This window comes from Homo sapiens, chromosome 16 (genome assembly GCF_000001405.40).
Source record: "Homo sapiens chromosome 16, GRCh38.p14 Primary Assembly".
In the NCBI taxonomy this organism is placed as follows: Eukaryota; Metazoa; Chordata; class Mammalia; order Primates; family Hominidae; genus Homo; species Homo sapiens.
The window spans coordinates 49664580-49688821 of NC_000016.10; the positions used below are offsets into that span (position 1 = coordinate 49664580).

Genomic DNA, 24242 nt, shown 5'->3' on the forward strand with positions numbered 1-24242 from the left:
CCACAGAAAGGGAGCAAGGGGTCTCTCTCGGACACTGCCCCTGTCTGCCAGGACAGGGTGGGGGGACGGCCCCTGGGAGGCCCCTGGGTGGGGTGGGTGGGGAGCTGTCTGCGGGAAGCAGCTCTCAGCAAATGAAAACCAGGCCTTGGAAACTGGCCGGGCCACAGCCAGGGCACAGCTCCAGGGAAAACCCCGCTGCTCACCGAAAGGTGCCCCAACCAGAGCGAAAGGTGATGTTAAAATGAACGAGCTAGGAGGGGCCAGGCAGCTTGAGCGAGATCGGGGGTGGCCCCTGGCTACAGCCCCACGATCCCTGCTCTTTTGTGCTCTGAACGCCCCTCATTGTGGGCACATTGTACTCCCAAGGCCTGCTTGCCTGTAAGTGCTGTAAAAAGCCAACTAACTGCGCAATTTTCTTCCCTTGGCTTCCCTCCGCTCAGCCTTGGTCAGGTTATCAGCTGAGCTGGGCCTGGGGCTGGGGACTGGCCTGGCTAGGCAGGCCTGAAGTCCCCACACCCGCCATATTTGGAAATTCAACTCTCAACGGTGCATTGAGGCCCAAGGGGTGGCACTTCCAAATTGGTGGGACACCAGGGTTCTGCCATCAAGAGCTTGGTGGGTAGCGGCATTCAGTAAATATAGATGTCACCCACACATCCTTTCATTCATTAATTCACCCATTTAGTTATTCACAGGATGTCTCTGATGTGCCTACAACCCAGCAGGCACTTAGGTGGTGAGGGTAGGAGGGTGAGCCACACTGGCAGCTCTTGGCCTGTGGAGCTCGCAGCCTAGGTGGAGGGACAACATTTGATCCCCTGTGTTTGCTAGGAGAAGTGTGTGGGGCCTGGGGGGAGAACAGGGGCGCAGTAAGGGTGCCAGAGCCCTCCTGGAAAAAGCAGGCTCTCCGTGGAGACCAGCAGGATGAAGAATTCACCAAGTGAAGGAAGCAAGGGGCAGAAATGAGCTCCAAGCGGCAGGACCAGCAAGAGCAAAGGCCTGGAAGTGAGACTGAGGTCTCTGACAGGTTTCACGGAGCCTCCTCCGCTCCTCACTCTCAGCCACAGTGGGTGGCCCAGCCCTGGTAGCACCGCCCCCCACCCCAGCTCACAGACTCGGGGAGCCCCCCATCAGCACCTCTGGAGGCCAATCCCACAAAGCCATCATCCAGCCGTCTCTTTCCCAGCTGAAGTTCTAGTTAAAAATGTTTTCATATGTTTATTTTTAAGGGGGGATGGGAAGACAGAAGGGAGACCTGAAGGTCTTTTTCTTTTCAGAAAAAAAGAAAATTAATAAATAAATAGAGCCTCAAGAAAAGGGCATGGAAAGGTCTCTGCATCTGTAACCACTGAACAAATTAAAATTAGCTCATTTAATCAGCTCCTAATGGCCTGGCTGTCCCGAGTGGGCCCCGGAACACAGCAAACTTCACAGCAGAACTGCGCAGGCCAATGTCAGTTTATCCTACAACAAAGGGATTTTCTAAATAGTGCGATCAAAACGCAGCGAAGGCCGGGGAGAGCTGGGGAGACGGAATGCGGCCCCCCAGATCCTGGCTGGCCCCCGCCTCCCAGCTTCGTCCCTTTGAAAGGAATTGTTCTTTTGGCTTTTGTTCTAATTATCTAAACATGTGTGTAACTCTGTTCTACAAAGAGTGTTTTAACCCGCAGAGGAGGTAACTGTAGCCCCTACCATACGTTACTGGGGCCCTGCTCCCAATCCTCACGCCTTTAATACTTCTCCATTCCCCACCTGCCTTCGACAGAGGCGTAAACACACCTACGACATACAGCCACCTACACACGCCAGTTACATTCACAAACACAGAGTTACAAACACACAGTTCTATACACATGATCACGTATTAAACCAGCTACATACACGTAGTTATAAGTGAACAGTTACATACATGCACGGTTGCCTATTCCACACACATAAAGTTACACAGACACACAGTTCTATATACACAGTCACATATAACACATTACATATGCATGGTTATACTCAATTACATGCATGCATGCACAGTTACATTCCCAGAGTTATATACACCACACACAAGTACATGTGCACACAATACACACAGCTCCTCAAGCTCCTGCCTAACAGCTGGAGATGGGGGAGGCCCAGCTCACCAGACCCCCAGGGAGGGCCGCTGGGTGCACACCTGAGGCCCAGGCTGGTAGTAAGGACTCTTATTTCCCTGGAGTAGTTTCTCTACGCAACTTGCCACCTGGGCTAAATCATTAGGGCAATGGAGGAGGGGAAACAAAAGGCCAGGGGAGTGGGGCTGGGACCCCAGAAAAAAGGGCAGGGTGGGAAAGCATGATGCCAGGGGTAAGCACAAGCCCATGGCCCAGTGGGGAGGAAGGAGGCCAGCCCCATCACCGACTCCATCACCAACACCGACCTCAAATTCCCTTCCCATGGCCTGTAAACTGGCCAGTCTGCAGCTCTGCCTTTAGGCCCAGAGCCTCCTTGGGTGCTCAGCCCACAGGGAAATAAGCCTGGAGTCAGCCAGATCTTGTTGAAATCCAACTCCACCACTTACTAACTCTGAGCCTCCCCTTCCTCATCCAAAAAATAAGAAACAACAGTAGTCCCTATCCCAAGGGGCAGTTGTGCTGATTTCATTAGAGATGCCAGTAAAATGCCTAGTCCAGAACAAACTGGGTCAGTGTTTGCCACTCTGGCAAATGAAAGGTGTGGGCATGGAGGCCCGAGAAGAGACCATCAGACAGTGGGTCGGGGCACAGCCAGACAAGAGCTAGCCATTTGGTGACTTTCAATTTCTTATTCAACCCTCATCCCCCGAGTGAGGAAGGGGAGAATTTTAAAACTGGATAAAAGAAATTAAACAGGGTAAAAAGAGGAACCAACTGGGATGGAGGGAAGCCTTCAGAAAACTTCTGGCCCAGAGTCAGACCATTATCTTCTGAAGACCTGCTCTATAGGTATTTACAGCAACACCCTGGGGTAAAAGCAATTGTTATCTCCATGTCACAGAAAAGGAAACCGAGGGCTGGGCACAGTGGCCCATGCCTATAATCCCAGCACTTTGGGAAGCTGAGGCAGGAGGATCCCTTGAGCCCAGGAGTTCAAGACCAGCTTGGGCAGCATAGCAAGACCCTATGTTTACAAAAAATTAAAAAATAATTTAGCCAGGTGTGGTGGTGCACACCTGTAGTCCCAGTTACTTGGGAAGCTAAGGCAGGGGGATCACTTGAGCCCAGGAACTTGAGGCTGCAGTGAGCTATGACTGCACCACTGCACTCCAGCCTGGGCAACAGAGTGAGACCCTGTCTCAAAAATAATAATGATAATAAAGAAGAGGAGCATGAGGCTCAGGGAGGTGAGAAGCCTGGGCTGGCAGAGGCAGTGTGCAAAGAGGTCTGTGTGGCTGCAAGCTGCATGCTAATGCCCAGCCCCGCTCCACCTTCCTTCCCGAGGCAACCTGTTCTCCCAACTACAAACTTTCTTTAGCAGGACTCCAGCAGGTAGGAGAGCCTGAAGTTGGCTTCTGGCTCTGGGAACTACAAGAGCCTCAGACCACCCAACCCAAACTCAGGAGTGTGGCCCTTTTCCTTGCAGGAGTTCACCAAGTCCTCAAGCCCCTACCCCCCACCCACCTCCCATGCTGAGTAGGAGGTGGGAAAGAACCTGTACACAGAGGCCTTACTGTAAAATGGGAAAACATTTTACAGACTTAGAAACTGAGGCCCCGAAATGGCAGGGGTGGGAGGCTCAAACTCCCACAACTCAGAGGCTGACTCTGCAAACCTTGAGTCCTCCCAGGATGGGACTCCTACCTTCCTTGCCCTTCTCTTGCCCAGGCAGGTCCTCCTGGGATCTATTAGGTGAGCAGCATTGTTGAGACCCCAGGGAGTGCTCAGAAAAAGAACCTGGACACAGGCTCCATCCAGAAGGTCCCACTGGGCTAGTGGTAGCTGTCCTGGTCCTGTTTAGGGATCCTGTTTTCCACTTGATTGGCAGGGCCCAAGCTGACCCCTGGTATGCCTGGAGGTCAGCCAAGATACAGGGAAGGTGGCAGGAGGGTCAGAGCCACCTGATGCAGCCTCAGTACAGGGAGTAGGACCTGGGGAAACAGTTCCCGCTAACCCACTAACGCTGCAGACCCACAGCCTGCAGGCTCTCCCAGCCCCACCCCCAGTAAGCACCAGGCCCCCAGGAGGAAGGAGGGGTGGGCAGGGAGGTAAGCACATGGGCTCGTGTTTGAATCTTGGCTCTGTCATCTACATGCTGTGTGACCTGGGACAAGTGACCTCCCCTCTCTGAGTCACAAACCTCAACTATAAAATGAAGATGGTGACAGTGCATGTCTCCTTCCTTACTTGAGGACTGAAGGGACGTTTCTAGCTCAGTGTCTGGTCCCCCTTCCCCAGTGGTAACCCTTAGTAAGCACAGAGAGTGGGGAGTGGGGAGTGCAGCATGGTCTTAAATCCATCTCAACCATGCGCGGCAGCTCATGTCTGTAATCCTAGCACTTTGGGAGGCCGAGGCAGGCAGATCACCTGAGGTCAGGAGTTCGAGACCAGCCTGACCAACATGAAGAAACCCTGTCTCTACTAAAAATACAAAATTAGCCAGGTGTGGTGGCGCACACCTGTAATCCCAGCTACTCGGGAGGCTGAGGTGGGAGAATCACTTGAACTCGGGAGGCGGAGGTTGCAGTGAGCTGAGTTCGCGCCATTGCACTCCAGCCTGGATAACAAGAGCGAAACTCCGTCTCAAAAAAAAAAAGAAAAAGAAAAAGAAAAAAGAAAAGAAAAAAAAATCCATCTCATCTCCCACATGGCGACCCTAGAGGCCCAGGCCACCATCCCCAATGAGTGGGATATGGGGCACCCTTCTTTCAGATGCAGCAGGACTGTCCCCTGCCCAGCACAGATTCATCTCAGCCATTCTTAAGCTAAGCCCAGCAGGCAGCCGACAGGGCAGCCCAGAGGACACGGCCAGGCCAGGTGGGGTGCAAACCTCTTCCTTACGGGATCTGGGCCCACCAGGCAGGAGTTGGACCTAGAGACCCCTTGGAAAGCCCAAAACTTCCCTCTCTTACCATCAGGATTCAGAAGAGAACCACATGAAAAAAGAGTTGGTGATATCTCCCCCTGCACCCCCTCACCATCCAGGTCACCCCCCACACAGAGCCCAGCTGGGCTGGGAAATCGGGCCCTAGCCAGGGCTCCTGCTTCCCTACTCCAGAGCCAGATGGCCCTACACAAGCCTCCCTTCTACTCTACTCCAAGCCTCAGTTTCCCCTCCTTGGCTCTGCTTACTTCACAGGGCTGCAGTGAGGGTCAGAGGGGAATGATGGCTGTGGAGATGCTTTGTAAACTGTCGAGAGCCATTGCCACACACGGGATTATTGAGGGTAACCAGGATAGGAAGGGGAGGAGACGCCAAGGGCAAGCCCCATCTGTCCGTTCCCCTGCATCAGGGCAGTGGCCCCACCACGAGAACAGAGGAAAAAAGGCCAAGAAGACAAAGTCAGGGAGGCTCACGCCAGGGCTGGATGCTCCCTCCAGGGCCCCAGAGTGCAGGCAGGAGCTGCTGCAGCCCAGCAGTTCTGTTTGGTGACATTGGAAGGGGAAAGCAGACAACATGGGTCTCTGGGATGCGGCCACCTGGCTCGGCACCCAGCACACAGTAGGCATCACCCACTGGTTGAGTTCTCCCAGCCGCCAACCCTCAGACAACCTGCCTCTGCGAGAGTTCAGTGCAGATGCCCACAGATGGAAGCCAGAAAAAAATATGACTCCTTGCAAAAGAAGCAGACTGCACCATGTGTCCCAGCTCAGCAGGCTGGTCCCAAGGCCTCAGACCCCCTCATGGCTGTGGCCCTGTAAGGATGGGAAGGCATGGTTTTCCCACTTCATGGGTCACCAGCAGCTGTCCCTACCTGCCCAACTCTGCCAGCAGGCAGGCTCAACTAGATGCAGGCAGCCAACCTAGTGCCAAGGAATAGGCAGAGGAGGAGTTGGGGCTGCATTCTAGTCCTGCCCACTTTTGCCCCCTGTGCCATCTGCATCTCGGGGACGCCTCTGTTGGGGACTCAGTTTCCCCACATGCTCCGGCTCCCCCTGCCCCATAAGCTGTGAAACCCAAGCAAAACAGCACGCTGCCTCATTCTCAGCCAACGTAGGCTACAATTAATCTGAAGCAGGGATTTTCTTAATTGCTGGGTTTTACAACCCAATCGCAAAGATAAATTACAGCTAGCTGACAACGCCGGCTTGAGGCGAGACGTTTAAAGCATCCTTTTTAAGTGTGTGGGCTCTTTAAAAAGCTGGTATGATGGGAATGGAATTGTGCTTGCAGCCTAGATCGGAGGCTACTTCCCTTAGGGAGTCAGGCCAGCAACGCCAGGGGACAAACCTCTCGAAGGAGATGTCTTATTGGGGAGTAAAAGTAAATACATAAAAGAAGGGAGGTCCACCTGCAACCCTCCTAATTGCCTTCCTTCACATGCAGCTGCAGTTCCACACTCCACAGCCCCTTCAGGTGTTTCAGCGCCAACAGGATTCCCGGGACTAGGAAGGCCCAGCTTCCCTCATTAGCTGTGCCTGGTCACCCAGGGGGCACAGAAGAAATGGTGTCAGCATGCACTTGGCAGTGCCCTCCAACACAAGGATGACTGCCCCCTGGGAGAGGCAGTGAGGGTAAGGGACGAGGTGTGAAGGGGGTCCCCTCTGATCTTGTTCTTGCAGGGAGCTCAAGGCCTGGCAGCAGCCACGTCCAAAACAGACAAACCATAGGCCCTGGGTCCTGTAGCCCACCCTAGGACCAAGCCCGGCCTTGATAGTTCCATGAGGTCCCAAGCACGCGTCCACCCGCTACAGGGTGTCCCACCTCCAGCCAAGAGGAATAGCATGGGTGTGCATGTGTGCATGCACATGACTTCCAAGCAAACGAGCCCTCCCACCACCACCCACCCCGCCCTGCATGGCCAAGAGTGGGAGGAAGAAAGGAATAGGAAGAAATCCGGCAGTGCTGCTCTGTGTGATGGGTCAGGTGATGGCTCCACCTAATGTCTGCTGAGCAATTATTCCGGGAGAGGTGCCCCACACGTTTTATTTTATTTTTTATTTATTATTTTTTTTTGAGGCGGAGTCTCACTCTGTCGCCCAGGCTGGAGAGTGCTGGTGCGATCTCGGCTCATTAGCAACCTCCACCTCCTGGGCTCAAGAGATTCTCATGCCTTAGCCTCCTGAGTAGCTGGGATTACAGGCAGACACCACCAGGCTAGGCTAATCTGTGTATTTTTAGTAGAGATGGGGTTTCACCATGTTGCCCAGGCTGGTCTCAAACTCCTGAGATCAGGCAATCTGCCTGCCTCAGCCTCCCAAAGTGCTAGGACTACAGGCGTGAGCCACCGCGCTCAGCCCACATCTTTTATTTGCCTGTCCACAACTCCCTACCCCAAACCCAAACCGTCAGATGTGGTCCAAAATTCAGACTTTTTCAGATTCTAGAAAGGTGAGACAGTGCACTTGCTGCAAATTTGGGAACACTCCAGCAGCAGTCAGGCACACTGATACTTCTGCAGCAAAACATATCGGTATTCACTAATGTGAACGAAATAAAGACCATAAATAGCTTCACATCAGCTCAGGTCAAACTTGGCTGCCAAATACATTACAGAAAAAAAAAATTCAGGTTTCTGGCTTTCTGGAATTCAGAATTGTGAATAGGGGATTCTGGACCTCCACTGCCTCTTTAATCTTCCTGGTGACCCTGTGGGGTAGGTACTATTGCTACTCTTGCTTCCCAGAGAGGAAAGTGAGGCACAAAGAAGTTAAGAAATAATTTCCCCATAGTCTGTGGGGCAGCAGGGCGGAAACCATGGCCATCTGGCCTGGAGGGTCTGCACTCTCCATCCCCAGGGTGTCCCATAGTTGACCAAAGTACGGAGCTGCAGTTTAAAAGCCTCCTGAGGCTGGGCATGGTGGTTCACGCCTGTAATCCCAGCACTTTGGGAGGCCGAGGCAGATGGATCACCTGAGGTCAGGAGTTCAAGACCAGCCTGGCCAACATGGCGAAACCTGTCTCTACTAAAAATACAAAAATTAGCCAGGCATGGTGGCACATGCCTGTAATCCCAGCTACTCGCGAGGCTGAGGCAGGAGAAACACTTGAAACCCCAGGCAACGGAGGTTGCACTGAGCCGAGATCGCGTCATTACACTCCAGTCTGGGCGACAGAGTGAAACTCCATCTCAAAAAAATTTAAAAATAAGTACAATAAAATAAAATAAAATAAAAGCCTCCGAAAAAAGAGTGGAGCATCTGTAAATGTACCGAGTGTCCACAGCCTGCCCCACCACGCGGTGTGATCTATGGGCCAGCCTCCACCAGGAGGCACTCACCTAGGAGTTACACAAACCCTGAGTGGCATTCCCACACCTGCCCAGAGCCTTGCTGGAGCCCAGGAGCCCAAGGCGGTCTCCCACCAGCAGGTGAGGCTCACCACCCCGCCGTGGTACACAGGTAATTACTCCCTACCTGACACAGTCTGCACAGATCATTTTACCCACAACAAATATGCTAAACACAGCCCCAGGCCAGGAGAAACATGCTGCAGGTAAATCCCATTTGACAGGGGCTGAGGCTTCCAGCAGGACTCCCAGATGCCTTTGGGAGGAGTGGTGACCCCATCCCATCAAAATGACATTGGAGCCCCACGACTCCCCTGGTCATCTCCAACTTCTCTTGATTGGCAATTTTTTCACCCACTGGGAAAGATTGTTGCATAGGCAAAATCCTGGCATTCTATTACCAAATAATTACATGATCATTTCATAGGCATTAAGACACTCCCACCAGCGTGAGCGGTGGTGTCCAGCGCTAACCGAGGCTGGCCTGGACTGCGGGTGCTTGTTAAGGAGAACTCCAGCATTGAGGAAAACCTCCAGCTGCAGCTCCCACACTGCCCTGGTTTCTAATTAAAAATTAAAGCAGGCATCTTTCCTCAGAAACCCAATTAGCATCAAGCTGATGGTACAAACACACATGTGCACAAACACATGGGCACACGTGTGTCACATGCACATGCTTATGCAAGGTGTGCAAACACGTATGTATGCATGTGCACACACTTGCACATGCACACAAACCCTTCTGCCCATGGGGGGCTACAAACCGCCATCTGGTCATCCATTCAGTCTACCCTGATGAGGATTCACCAAGCATCACGCACTCCACGTGCCCCACAGGAAGAAACCCAGGGCCCTGCCTTCAGGAGCATGAGCTCTAAAGGAGGCTGAGGAAAGTGCACAAGGTAAGACAGTCCATGGTGGGACCTTAAAAGGGTCCTTAGGAAGCCCAGAGAGCTCAGTTCTGGCAGGGTGATCAGGGACACCCTGAGACATGAAGGCCTGCTGCTGGGTCTTAATTTATAGAAAAAAATATAAAAGGCCATGGAGCAGGTAGAGAAAATAGCCAGAGCAAAGGCAAGCAAAGGTAGCTGGCACTCTGAGAACAAAAATTATTCTGAGTGAAAAATAGGCAGGTGGAAAACGGGTAAATGTAGATAACACAAGAGTTCTAGCATGGGTACTTTTTTAAACCTATATGAATTTAGCTGTGTGCTGAGCAAAAAGAAAATTTGTGCACAGGATCTGAGATAGGAATGAGTGTGAAACGCAAACAAAATTTTGCTGTGCAGTCCAACAGCTGATGTTCCAGTAACCTCTCCTAAAGCAAGTGTCACCGAGTGCCTAAGGGATTTGTGGTGTGTGTGTGTGCAGAGCACGCAGTGTGTTCTCGGCTGGGGAGCAGTCCAGTCGGTAATCCTGGCCATGTGCATACGTGTGCTGCAGCCGATGTGTACACGGTGCGTCATCCCACTTTACAAGGGAGGACAGGGTGGCTCTGAGACGTGATGTCACTCTACTGGAAACACAAAACCAGTCAGGGCCAGAGCCCACATCTGACCCCAGGCAGTGTGGCCCAGAGTCCACCCCCTGCACCACCAGGCGGAACAGAGATGTGAACAAAGCTGTACTTCAGGGAAAATAATCAGGCAGGGGTCCTCAAGGTGGGGTGGGACAAAGTGAAGGCACAGACCAAAGCCCGAGAGGCAGCCACGCAGTGCTGTGCAGAGGGGCGGAACGGGGCTGCAGCCACAGGGATGCTCTGAGGCCTTGGAACAGATGGGAAGGCAGGGAAGAGGGCACCAGGGGACTCTGCGGTCTGAGTGAGATTTTCTTCGGTGACTACAGTTTGTGAGCTCCCAGTGGCCGGTTTGTCTTAGAAAGGGACTGAGTCCCAGCCCTTCCCCTCCAATCATGACCACCCCTGCTTCCTCCATCTTGCCCTTGGTGAGAGAAAACTCCAGCACACCAAGATGTCCTGGGAAGTCCATCCTTCCCACCACCCAGGTAGACAGGATGGCAAGCAGGCAACTGAACAGCCGCCCAGGGCAGAGCGGGAGGCCTGTGGTGTGTGGAATTCATCTGCTGTGAGATGATGCTATTTCTTCATGCAACATGACCAGGGTTGGAAAGATAACACTGGAAACAAAGTCAACATTTATAGCTGGTCTACTAACATGCTGTGTGACCCTGGATACATCACTAAACCTCTCTGAGCCTCAGCTTCCTCTAGCTGTTGACTCACTCATGTACAGAGGACCCACTATATGCCAGGTATAAGCTCTGTAGTTGGTGACCTTTGCAGTTGGTCAGTGCTGCATGGCTCATGGGTCTGAAGCCCACCCTGGATCATGCAGGAGAGGCACGTACCCACCCAGGTGCTGGAACCATTAACCTGGCCATCTTTGACTAGGAGGCTTGGGAATTACAGCATTCAGCCACTCCCAGAATCCCCTCCCTGCTGGGGTGATAACCAGCACTGGGGGTGAACTGCCCCACCCCTCCCTCAGCGGTGCCCTCAGCTGGAATTGGGCACGTTAAAACTCAGACTCCGGGCTGCCACGGCCCCCACAACCACGCTGCACCACCCCACCCCCCTCCAGCTGCCTGTGCGCCGGCTGCTGCTGCTGCTCATTTCCAGGCAAATGTTCTAGTTAATTAAAACACACCCAAGTGCTCACACGCACATGGAGCCAAGCTACAAAATCAGTTCTACCAAACAGCAGCTCCTCTGCTCCAGCCTGGGATCGATGCAGGCCAGGACAGGGGTTCCAAAGTTGATGTTACTGGCACCGAGACTTTGCTCATAAGACCCTACCTGTATACACACCTGTACACAAATGTAAAAGCATATGTGTGCACCTACACACGAGCCTGTGTGCACATGCAAGCCATATGTGCATGCACATGTGTGTGTTCTGAACACGTCCATGAGTGCTCCACACACAACACTGTGCAGAGGTGTGCAACATCCACGCACACACGCACCTGCATACATATGCATGGACACACTCACACAGGCATGCACACACCCCACAGTGCCCCCTTCTCCAGGAAGTCTTCTCCAGCTTTTTGGGCCTTCCAGCTCAGAACATCAGCCATGGTTAGTAAATAAACACTTGCTGCATGAGGGAGAGAATGAATAAATAAATGAATCCACTGATCAATGATACAGTGGGCAAACGGGAACAGCCCACAAGTACAATTATGCATCACCGCAGATTGGATTTTCCAGAGACTGGAGGCGCAGCTCTGCCCTTGCAGCTGTGCTGCAGAGCTCCACGAGGCACTAACTGAGATACACACACACGCACACGGGCATGTGGCTGGAAAATGCACATTCCCAGATCTGGACATCCATAACAACCAGGAACTGGCAAGGGAGGGCTGCAGTCATCCAGGCTAGGAGACAGAAATCAGTCACCTTTAATGGGACTTTAGTCCCAGAAGGGAAGGTGCCTGGAGGTCCACAAGGCTGCCTGACATTCTGGGACTAAATCAGACACATGGCCTTCACACAGGCAGGTGACTCTAGGGAACAAAAACAGCCTGGAGTAGGTCAATCCTGCCCTAGCAAGCATGTCCAGTATGCTCCAGGTCCACCGAGACCACCTTGCAGGTGGCCACTTCTGCAGCCACAAACAACTGTTCTTTATGAGGACCTGACACTCATACACAAATGTCAACCACTTGACACCCTAGATGGGCATGGAAAGGATTTCTGTTCATGGAGATGGGGACAGCTGTGCTGGGCACCTCAAACCACATCAGTTGAACAACTGACCTTCTAACTCATGCCACGGGGCTGGCAAAGCTGTCTACAGAGAGCAAAGGACGTGAGAAGGAGGGTTTAGAAAGGAGTGGGGATGGTGGACTTAGCGGCCATGGGAGTCAGCCACTCAAAATGTGGCCCTGGACCAGCAACTCAGCATCACATGAGAGCTTTTTAGAAATGTAGAATTTAGGCCAGGCCTGGTGGCTCATGCCAGTAATCCTAGCACTTTGGGAGGCCGAGGTGGGCGGATCACCTGAGGTCAGGAGCTCAAGATCACCCTGGCCAACATGGTGAAACCCCATCTCTACTAAAAATACAGAAATTACCCTGGCGTGGTGGTGCGTGTCTGTAGTCCCAGCTACCCAGAAGGCTGAGGCAGGAGAATCGCTGGAACCCGGGAGGCGAAGGCTGCAGTGAGTCATCATCACGCCACTGAACTCCAGTGTGGGCAACAGAGCGAGACTCCAACATAGAAACAAGAAAAGAGAAGAGAAGAGAAGATAAGAGAAGAGAAGAGAAGAGAAGAGAAGAGAAGAGAAGAGAAGAGAAGAGAAGAGAAGAGAAAGGAGGGGAAGGGAGGGGAGGGGAGGGGAGGGGAGGAGGGGAGGGGAGGGAAGGGGAGGGTAGGAGGGGAGGGGAGGGGAGAGGAGAGGAGAGAGAGAATGGAAGGGAAGGAAGGAAGGAAAAGAAAGAAAAAGAAAAGAGAAAGAAGAGAAGAGAAAAGAAAAGGAAAGGAAAGGAAAGAAAAGAAAAGAATTTTGTTGCCAGGTGCAGTAGCACATGCCTATAATCTCAGCACTTTGGGAGGCAGGAGGATTGCTTGAGCCCAGAACTTCAAGACCAGCATGGGCAATGCAGTGAGACCCTGTCTCTATAAAATTTTTTTAAAAGTAGCTACTAGGGAGGCTGACGTGGGAGGATTGCTTCAGCCCAGGAAGTAAAGGCTGCAGTGAGCCATGATCACACCACTGCCCTCCGGCCTGGATAAAAGAGCAAGACCCTGTCTCAAAAAAAAAAAAAAAAGAGAGAGAGAGAGAGAGAATGATTAGAAATGCAGAATTTCAGGTCCACCTGGAGCTGCTAAATAAGAATCTGAATTTCATACATTCCATTAGTAATTATGTTAAGAATGAAATGAAAATATGACATTTTTTGGCCAGGCGCAGTGGCTCACACTTGTAATCCCAACACTTTGGGAGGCCGAGGCGGGTAGATCATTTGAGGTCAGGAGTTCAAAGCCAGCCCAGCCAACATGGTGAAACCCTGTCTCTACTAAAAAGACAAAAATTAGCTGGGCGTGGTGATGGGCGCCTGTAATCCCAGCTACTCGGGACTCTGAGGCAGGATAATTGCTTGAGCTTGGGAGGTGAAGGTTGCAGTGAGCCAAGATCGCGCCACTGCACTCCAGCCCGGGTGACAGAGCAAGACTCCATCTCAAAAATAAAATAAAATATTACATTTTATTTGAATGTATGTGTTTTATTTTTTTTTTAAAGCTACTATGCTGTTAGGACATAAATATTTAAGTTGTTTAGACAACTGTGAGGTTTTTGTTTTGTTTTGTTTTGTTTTGTTTTGTTTTGCTTAAGGGGCACCATAAAAAAGTTACCGACACTAAGGTGCCATGAACTAGGAAAGTGGGGCGTTCGAGCTCTGTATCAGGCATGGTTTTGGGTGATGGCAAAACAGCAGAGAATATCACAAAGTCCCTGTCCTCGTGGAGTTGACAGTCCAGTGGGGGAAGCAACAATAAACCAGTAAACAAGTGACTGGGCAAGATGTCAGGGAACTGGAATCGAATAAAAAAATTAAGCAGGGCAAAGTATTGATTGCCACCTACCATGTGTGAGGCACTGGCCTCCCATGCTGTCCTCCCTGTGCCAGGTGCCTGATGGGTGTCTTTCCTCCCTCTCCTCACCCCTGCACTGGGAACAACCTCCAGCTCATAATTTGCACTGACAGATGTTGGGTATGGCTGTCTTTCACTTGAAATTTTCAAAGATCTCACAGAGGTCCTGTAGGTTAGCTGTTGTGCCCTGGGGTGCCACAGCACACAGTTTGGGGAAACCAATCTCAACTATTTATTAAGTGAATGAATACAAATCATGAAGAGGATCTGACATGAGATACAGGAATCAATTCTCAATCCATACAAATGCTCAGAGATACCTTGGAGCACTGGCTCACAACACCAGCCCTCACTGCCCTGAGCCTATCAGGCTCTCTGGGCCTCAGTCAACCCAGTGGTACACAGGTCAGGAGCCCACAGTGACTCGCAAGCACACTCCCGGGCTCAAGGGATCCTCCCATCTCAGCTTCTCGAATAGCTCGGACTACAGGTGTGTGCCACCATGCCTGAAAAATTGTTTTTGTTCAGTATACACAGGGTCTCACTATGTTGCCCAGGTTGGTCTTGAACCCCTGGGATCAAGAAATCCTCCCACTAATGGCAGCAGCACCCAGTCTGGAGCGACCGCTGCAAAGATGCCAGCTGCAGTTGGGGAGGCATGGCCAGGGCTGCGCCCTCCGTGGAGCTGGCGGGAGCCGGAAACAGGTGGGATCTCTGCCCCCTTCCAAGTTGGCAGGGTGGGATCCCCACCCTCCCCAGCACAGCTGCAGCCACCTAGCTCTTGGGAGCCTGGGAGGCCCCCCTCTCCTGTCCTCACAGGCTCGGAAGTGCCTGCTCCTGCTGCCTGGCTTCTCCCTGCTCCCAGCACCCTCTCTGATTTTGGAGCAAAGTTGAGGCCAAGCCCAGACACTGTCATGACCCGGCCAGATGTGCATGCACTCAGGGCAGTGCTGACATGCCAGCCCCCTGCCACCTCAGCCCCCTCCAGACTTTTGGTGCAGATGAGCATGGGAGGGACACCAAGAGGGAGCTAAGGGTGGCTCAGCGTGGGCCTGCAGGTGCCCCTCGGCACAAACAGTCTGGGTGCTGTGGATGATATGATTGATGGTGGCAGGAAGCAGACAGGCTCCTGAGCAGAAAGGGGCGGGTCCCCAGTGAAGCCCCACGTTCTAGCCAGAAATGGCCTGAAACCTGGGGTCTGGGCTGTCAGTTCCAGGTGGAGTCCCAGCCCAGAGTGAGAACTTATGGTGCTGTTTCTGGGACCACCCAAGGATCAATCAGTACGCACTTCCTCCCTTCTGAAGCCCATTACACCAGACTCAGCCAGACTCACAGAGATGTTGGAACTACCAGCTGCAGGAAGGAGCTACCCACTTCGGGTCTCCTGACTCTTCAGGACAACCTACCTGTGGAAAAGAGCTACCCACTGTGGGTCTCCTCTGAGCTGAGAGCTGGACACAAGTTAGTACAACCTGTCTGTGGAAAGGATCTACCCACTGCGGTCTCCTCTCAGCTGAGAACTAGACACTCATGGGGACAACCTGCCTGAGGCAAGGAGCTACCCACTGCAGTCTCCTCTCCACTGAGAGCTGGACCTGCCTGCAGAAAGGAGCTACCCACTGCAGGTGTCCTCTCAGCTGAGAGCTGGGCACTTGTTGGGCGACCTGCCCATGGGAAGGAGTGGCCCACTTGAGGTCTGAGAGGTGTTCTGTCACTCATTGAAGCTCCTCTCTGCCTTGCTCACTCTCCAGTTGTCTGCATACCTCATTCTTCCTGGACATGGGACAAGAACTTGGTACGTGCTGAATGGCAGGACGGAAAGAGCTATGACACAAACAGCACGGAAAAACACTCCCTGCTTACCATGTTGCAGGCAATGAGAAGGACAGAAGAGCTGCAGCCCTTCGGTGAGCCCAGACCTAGAGGCTCCCCAAGCCAGGGCTGTGACACCTTCCTTGGGGTTCTGTGGTTCCTGGCATCTCCAAGCTTCCGGACACCACTGCATTCCCCAGTACTCCCAGTGGAAGCCACTTACAGTACACCTGGTCCAGCCACAGCCTCACATGGAACCAGCACATGGAGCTGCCCGCCCCACCACAGCAGCCAGCATGCCTGGCTGTGTGAAGTGGCCGGACTTCATGCTCACTTGCCTCACGGCTCTGCACCTGGATCACCCTTGGCAGGTATGGGATCCAGGCTGGTAGCATGAGCCGAGCACAGCCTGCCAGGTCAAGGGTGCAGAACGAGCCCAGCAGGCATGAGCAATATAGTCAGGCAGAAGGCACTGCTGGCCACAGAGGTTTCTGGCTGGTGAAGCAACACCCCAAGGATCCTGTGACACCAACTTAGGCTCCCAAAGTGCTAGAATCACAGGTATGAGCCACCATGCCCAGCCAAGGGCAAATTTTCTAAGAAATGTCGGTGTCCAAACAGGGCCCCTCAGCTCTGCACACCTTAGAGTTGGAGCAGCAGACCTTTCCAAGTAGGAGACCAACAGGCTCGCCCAAACTCGACAGTCAGGGATTCCCACTTCTGGTGAACAAAGCAGAAAGCACTATGTGGCGGACTCAGTACAAACTCCAATAGGAAAGGAAGCGAGAAGTGAAGGGTGGATTTGGGGAAAACCAACTGAACACCAAGGTATCTTTTATCCTAAGCCATGACTGCAGCTGCTCTAGTTTGGGGAAAATAAAATCCAACAGCATCCAGACTACACAGCTCCCATGTCTAAATAACAAAATGAAACATGGGCTCTCTTTTGGCAGCTTTCTTCCCCGTCAGCAGGAGAACTTTGGTAACTGAGTGCTTTTTGGGGATACAGAGAGGGGAGAAAAACTCTCATGTACTCACGCTGCCAAGTTCACATCAGCGACAGGCTTTATAAAGCAAATGGGGCAGATGTATAAACCTTGGTGCTGGAAGGATGGACTGGGAGATTAAATGACAGGGTGTGTGCAGCAAAGTAGAGACTAAATGAGACCTCAGGCCGGATCGTTTCACCACGATATCAGGGACTTCAAAGGGATGGCTCCCAGGCCTGGCCTGCCAGCAAGGGCAGCCCACAGGCGTGCCCACCCCCACAGCCTCGGCCACTCCCCCAGGTGCCCATGGGTTCCTGGAGGCTGCAGGGATCTGAATGCTGGCTTCCTGGCCTTTCATATTATGATTTTCTTTTTCTTTTTCTTTTTAAGACAGGGACTTGCTCTGTTACCCAAGCTGGAGTGCAGCGATGCAATCATGGTTCACTGCAGCCTCCACCTCCCAGGCCCAAGAGATCCTCCCCTATCAGCCTCCCAAGTAGCTGGGACTACAGGCACGCACCACCATGCCCAACATTATGATTTTCAAATATCAGAATTCTTTCTGTACCTAACAAGCTCCCACCCCTCACAGCCCCCATGTCTATCTCCCCTTTTGCTCTCTGCCTCCCCTCATCCTTCCTCCATTCCCTCCATTTCTGTCCTCTAATTACCCCCCAGTCTCCTGTTCCTCCTCCCCTTCCCCTTCGGAAGCCAGCTCTCACCCTACCCATGTCTTTGCTAGCACTCGGCCAGTTTCCTCTCTGCTCTCCCAGAGGGTCTGTCCTGCCTTTCTGCCTGCTCCTGTCTTCAGCCTTCCTCCTGCCCCTTTTTCTCTCAACCCCATTTTCCCCCAACCCCATTTTCCCCCCATTCTCCAACCGTCTCCCTGGACCTCAAGAAAGAAAGTGCAAGAGAGTGAATGACCATGCTAGAGCTTGCTGTGAGTGCCAGGGCTGGCCGAGCACATCCCACCCCTCCTGCTCAGGAAAGGAGGGTGGGTGCAGAAGGCCCGGCCCCAAGGGAGAGCCAAGGGATGCCAGATCCTCCCGGTCCACACTTGCAATGCCAGGGTCTGGAGCAGGGACACAGCCTGAGAATTCCCTTCACCTCCCTCTGCAGCAACTGTCCTGGTCTAGGATCCCAGGAGAGGCCTTGCATCTGGCCTGAACAGAACCTCTGACAGATGGGATGCCGCCCCGAGTATGACAGGAGGACATGAAAGATGGGAAGAGAGGAGAGGTTGGTGGGGATGCTGAGCCGAAGGAAGAAGCAGAGGTCAGTCATGAGGACTGCCCAGGTTCAAACACCATCCCTGCTACTCCCTGACTGTGTGGCCTTGGGCAAATTCCCTAGCCTCTCTGAGCCTCAGTTTCCTCATCTGTAAAATGGGAACGATGTCCAAAGAACTCAATAAACAGCAATTATTTTGTCATGATGGCAATTCTTACATCTGCACTGTGTATTGGCGGCTCTGAGTGGGTGTCAGGACTTCGACGGAGTGGGTATCTAGGAGACGCCCCTACCACAACCAGCGCAGAGCCGCAACCCCACCGGGCACCCGTGTCATGCAAGGGAGCCTCAGGGCTGAGGGAGCCGCTTTTCCGCCTGTGCCAATAAAGAAGGGGCCCTTCTCTAGGCTGCAGAGCTGCAGTGCCCAGAGGAGTGGGGACCCGCCCTGGCCATCTCCCTGTATTTCTCCCCAGTAATAATCTTATGAACAGGTGGCAGAGGGGTGCCTGGCGTCTGCCTCCAACTTTGCTATCTGACTATTCACTCAACAAATACTCAGCTCTCCCGTGTGGATCAGTGGGGCATTCAACAGTGACCAAGGACAAGGCAGCCCCTCAAGGAGCCCATTGTCTCCTGCAGGAGACAGACACTGACCAGCAAATTGCACCCTGGAAGTGTAAAATCACTACTGGAGAAAGAGCTACAAATAACTAAATACAAATATATTCTCATCTTAATATTGAAAATACATTCTTATACTTAATATAAGTGTATTCCTTCTTTGGAATCGCAAATTTCAGGATGTGGGCGGTGGAGGAGACCAACCCTCATCTCTAGACAGAGAACTTGACACCCAGAGGACAAAGGACCAAGTTCACTCAGAGCCGCTTAGTGGTAACCCAGGGCTAGAATTCAGTTCTCCTGACTCCAAATTAAAGAAGTGCTTTCCTCTATGCCACAAGGTACATTGAGAATAGTTCCCTTAGGGGCTACTGTCCAAAAAGAAACCGGGAGGAAGAGGGGCCCCCTGGGTGATTCCAATATGCCTGGTCCGATGCTCAACACTTGACCCACACCTAGCACCAGCTCCTCGAGAGGGCATTAAAAGCAGCTACAAGACAGCCTGGCCAACACTGTGAGACTCTGTCTCTACAAAAAATTTAAAACTTAGCCAGGCATGATGGTGTGCGCCTGTAATCCCAGCACTTTGGGAGGCTGAGGCAGGCAGATCGCTTGAGCCCAGGAACCAGCCTGGGCAACATGGCAAAACCACATCTCTACTAAAAATTTAAAAATTAGCCAGGCTTAGTGGCGTGCACCTGTAGTCCCAGCTACTTGGGAGGGTGAGGCAGGAGGATTGCTTGAGCCTGGGAGGTTAAAACAGCAGTGAGCTGTGATTGTGCCACTGCACTCCAGCCTGGGCAGCAGAGCAAGATCTGGTCTCAAAAAATTAAAATAAAATAAATAAGAGCAGCTACAAGGACCACAGACCACAGATGCAGGTCAGACCGTGAACTCCCTGGGCAAAAAAAGCAGAATATATTAGACACCCTCTGGTTGGAATCCTGTAAATTCTCATGTGTGCAGACAAAGACCAACACAAAAGAAATATCATCAGGAAAATAGGGTGTTTGGGTAATGAGGAATTTTTTTCTCAAAATACAACTAACTGTGTTGTCTGAGATTCATCCATTGAATTCTCAGGTTGTAAGACTATAGCCACATGGCCAGATTATATCAGGGATATTTAGATTCTCAAATTGCCCTGGGGAAAATTAAAGAGACATTTGTAACCATCTTGAGGATGTCCATGCCATTAATTAAATGTTGAATGGTGAGGGAAATGGGTCTATGGTGGGTGCCTGATGTTCCCATTTTACAGATGAAGAAACCTCCCCATGGTCTGCCCAGACCTGGTCATGCCTCTGTTAAAAGTCTGCTTTGGGCTGAAGATGAAGAAAAGAGAAGCTGAGCCCCTCAAGGTTCTGGTCAGGATGTGAGTGGCCCCAGGACGTAACTCTCCTTCAGCCCAGAGAGCAAATCTAGGACCCAAGAGCAGCAGTCCAGTTCATGTAGGGGGTGGAACCCGCATCTTCCTATAAGCCCTCCCCTCAGCTTGAGCCCTGGGCCCCTCCACCAGGTTAAGCAGCACCCCACTTCCACCCCAGCCCAGCTGCAAGAAGGAGCTGCCAAAGTTGGTGGACATAAATGAGGGGGCCCTGACACGCGGCCAGCTGGAGTGTGTGAGGGCTGGAGCCAGGCTCTGCACACACCAGGCAAAGCAGATTTCCACGCAATCTAGACAGCGGGCGGAATCTACAGCCCAGAAAGGCAGGGGCACGCGAACCACCAACACCGGCTGATGGCTGTCCTCAGGCTCAGAGGCCCAGCCAGGCCAGCCAAGAGGGTTTACAAGGGAGTCAGGAACACTGGACAGGCTGCCCCCATCTGGGGCCATAACAAGCGGGCATCCGGCAGCCCAGCCAGGCACAACAGCTCAAGCTCAAGCTCAGGGCCTCCCTCTGGAAGGTAGCAGCCCCCAAAACTCAACATCTGAAGTTGGAGGAGGAGGCAGCCCAGGGCAGAATCTTCCCCCATCAAGCAGCATCCCCATCCCAGCAAGTTTTAACTGATCTGCAGCCTTCTAGAGCAGGTCTCCACAACAGATATTAACAAGGCACCTACTGTGTGCCAGGCATGGACTAGGTGGGCTCAGCTAGGGATAGAGCAATGGAGGTTCCTGCTCACATGCAGCATGGGGTCTTGAGGGGACTGAGCAGCAGCCAGGGTCTAGTTCCTTGGACTGACACCCCACTGTCCCTACCAGCTTTGTCCCCCAGGCCCCTGCCCTGGTGCAGTTCAGTCAGAAAAGGGGAAAGACTTCTCTGCCTCCAATCCTATTCCTCCTTCAGCGCTGTGTATTTCAGGAGAGACCCCTCTGTTCACCTCGATGCCCAAGCCAGGAAACCAGGGATCCTCCTGGGTTTCTCCAAAATTTAATCCATTTCCACACCTTGTCAACGTGGTCCCTAGGACGGCTCTCGCACACACCCTCTGTTCTCGGTCCCCACTGCCTGCAGCACCATCCTCTCCATGTCCCCACCTGCCCACGCCCGTCCTTGACAGGGCATTGGCAGGAACTCTGCCAAGGATGAGTCTGAGGATGCCAAGACCCCCACCACCCACACTGCTCCTAGAACATAATACAAATGCCCCACCTGGTCCCACCCGTACACACGCTCTGCTGGCTCACCACGCTCCCCCATGCTGCCTACCACCAATCCCCCCAACATGCCAGCGCCCTCCTGACTTGCAGTCTTCAAACCTTCCGTCTGGATGGCTATCCCCATAATTTCTATTCATTGTTTCGCCCTCGTTTCCAGTGTCCATTCTTCAAAGAAGCCTTTGCTTCTCTCTCATGCCCCATGCTCTTCCTTCCAGATGCTTCCACGCCTAGAAGATAAACGTAGCTATTTATGGGGTGGTTTGTCTAGCTGTCCTTCTCCCCCACAGACTGGAAGCTCCACAGGGGGAGAGTCCAGGCCTGTCCAGCTCACTGTTGTATGCCCAGCACTCAGCACACAGCCTGGCACAAAGTAGGTGCTCAATTAATATGCATTAATTCATATTAATTATGAAAGTCCTGCTGCTTGAGTCTCGGGTAGGCAGGCAGGAAGGCCAGCCTCGCAACCTTCCTTAGCATCATCCAAAGTGCAAGGCGGGTCTCACAGAGGCTCTGTCTTCCATGCTGGGGCAGGAGGGGACCACACCGTCATGAATACCAGGCACGTAGTGGAGGTGACATGAAGCCTCAGGTATCATGTACAAAAACCTTCTGGCCCTGTGGAGCTCACTGCCAGGAAGCAGCCCTGCAGCCACTCGGAGTACACAGGCCTGCGTACGCCCCACACGGAGGATGCAGGTCCCCTGTCAGTGCCCTCCCAGCCTTTCCTGCCAGACCCACCACACTTGAGTGGCCTGGACGCTCCAATCACCCCCTCTCCCACCACACCCAGGCTTCCTACCTGCCAGGCTTCCTACCTACCTTACTATCACTGTCCCCTGACCAAGGCAGACCTCTTCTTCTCATCTCTAAGAGATTTCCCATAAAGACCCAAGTGACTGGCTTCTCTTGGAAATCTAGAAGCCATGGACAGGAACAGATGGAGGAGCAAGCATGATCTCGACTCACCAGCCCCGCCAGCCTGTACCCATGCTTCCTCACCTCCCAGGCAGAACCCCCATCATCATCAGAACCTGCGATCCCTGCACCAGCCTCGCATCCCCATCCCACCTTGGATCGCATGTTCCTAACCATGGAGAAGGCCTCACCTTCTCATCTCTGTCTGCCCCAGGGTCTCCTGCCTGGAGGGAAGCCCCAGGAAGGGTGTACAGAAGAACCAGATGGCGACACCCCCTCCATGTCTGCCACCTCCCCACATCTGGCAGAGCACCCCTATTTCATCTTGGGTACCTGAGTTACTGTTCATACACCACCCCCGTGGTTTGTCCCCTATAGTTTATTAACATCCACTAATAAACAGTGGGCAGGCCTCCCAGGGCGCCACCAAGAGACCCCTGGCTGGGTGGGCAGGGCCTTCCTTGTCCTGCCCTCTCTCAACACATTTTTCACCATAAGGGAACAATTAGGAAAAACTCCCTCCAGGTTATATTTAGGAAGGGGTGGAAGTGGGGGAAGCTTCCTCTAGTAATTTTCATTCAGTTGCACAGGACTGCCTGTCCCCACCTACCCCTGGGCTAGCACTGCAGGGCAGGCAACCGCCTCTCCCCACACACGGGTGCAAACCAAGCCCAGCCTCTGCCCAGCCCTGATTATGCCCGCGTTTAAAAATAAGATGTGAAAGATGCATTATGTAAGACCTGTAACACTCTCCTGCCCACCTCCGACTCTAGAATCAAAGATCTTCATTTCTGCCATCAAAAAAGAATGAAAGAAAGGCAGGAACAATGAAAATAGCTGCCCAACATGAGCCAGATCAAAGACATGGGCACAGAAAATGAGGAACCAGGGGGGCCTTTAATTACTGCCTGCATCCTCCGAGTCATGTGGAGAGAGGGGAGAAGAAAAGTTTTGAAGGCCACCAGGTTCCGTCCTGCTGCGGCTCCTGTTTCCACAGCCAGCACCAGTTCCCGACAAACTCGTGCCTTTCATTTCCCTCCCTTTTTTCCCTCCTTTTTCTCTGCCCCCCACATGTGAGACAGGACTCCCAGACTCCCCAGTGCTTGACGTCCTCCAGCAGAGAGAGCTCAGAGGGGCTCCTTGGAGACCCCAAGGGAGGGACACGGCTGCATCTTGGAAGGTCCTGGTGGGTCCCAACCCATCTGCCCTCCCAAAAAACAGCCAGAGGGCCTCCAGGAGGGACCCAGGGACCCACAGTGGGAGCGGGTGCTGCAGACCACGGTGCGGTTTTTTTTTTTTTTTTCGCAAGTCTCCCTGGTTGAGAGGGAAAAAAAAAAAAAAAACTCTTCAAATTCACATTGGGCAGGGCTCCGTGGGGCAGCAGATCAAACCTGAGGCCCGGCTGTTTGAGCTCAGCGGCAGAAAAAAGGATTGCCCAGGGACCGAGCTTAAGTAGAAGCTGGATTAAACTTCAAACACAAACTCCTCCTTTTTCTACACAGCAGACAGTCATGGCTAATATTGCAATATGGACTCTAAAAATGCATTACAAATAACTTACTCTGGACCCAGACTTGGGTCTTTTGTATCAAGGGGAGGAGCAAGAGAAATCATTTCAACAGAAAAGACATAGGAGCCCGCCCTCTTGCTCCATAGAGGGAAGCCGCTGGAGGTTTGGGCCAGGGAGGCCAGCGAGATCCCCGAGTGACGGGAACCTTCAGGAAGATGTCTTGCTGGCAGCCCGGGCGGCTCCCCCGGAGGCTGAATGAGGCTTAGGTCTTCCTAAGTTGGGAGACTCTATGTATATTTTATCAAGGAAGAAATGCCAGGCCAAGGTGACCAAAACAGCGGTACATTTCAAATGTCTAGTGACTTAAATAATTAAAGCATTTACAGCACTCATGCTCTTAAAACACATCCACAAACAATGGAAGATGATTGTGTTATTCACGTGATAAATGAGAGACTCAATAAAAAAGGAAAACTTACAAACTCCCGATGCCAGCAGGCAGTGTGGTGGGTGGGGAGCAGAAGACAGATTTCAAGCTGTAGGA

General features: G+C 52.6%; 1 protein-coding gene across 13 annotated transcripts in view, besides 1 other annotated feature; it reads right to left on the reverse strand.

The window, feature by feature from the left end:
- The window catches only part of ZNF423 (zinc finger protein 423), a 371756-nt gene that overhangs the window by 177056 nt on the left and 170458 nt on the right, over positions 1-24242 (reverse strand). The window lies entirely within an intron of this gene.
- Positions 15742-16662: an enhancer, noted in NCBI's record as "H3K27ac hESC enhancer chr16:49714232-49715152 (GRCh37/hg19 assembly coordinates)". NCBI's record gives its function as "activates a minimal SCP1, AML or CMV promoter by ChIP-STARR-seq in primed H9 embryonic stem cells {active_cell/tissue: H9 hESC(primed)}" and the evidence as "EXISTENCE:reporter gene assay evidence [ECO:0000049][PMID:30033119]".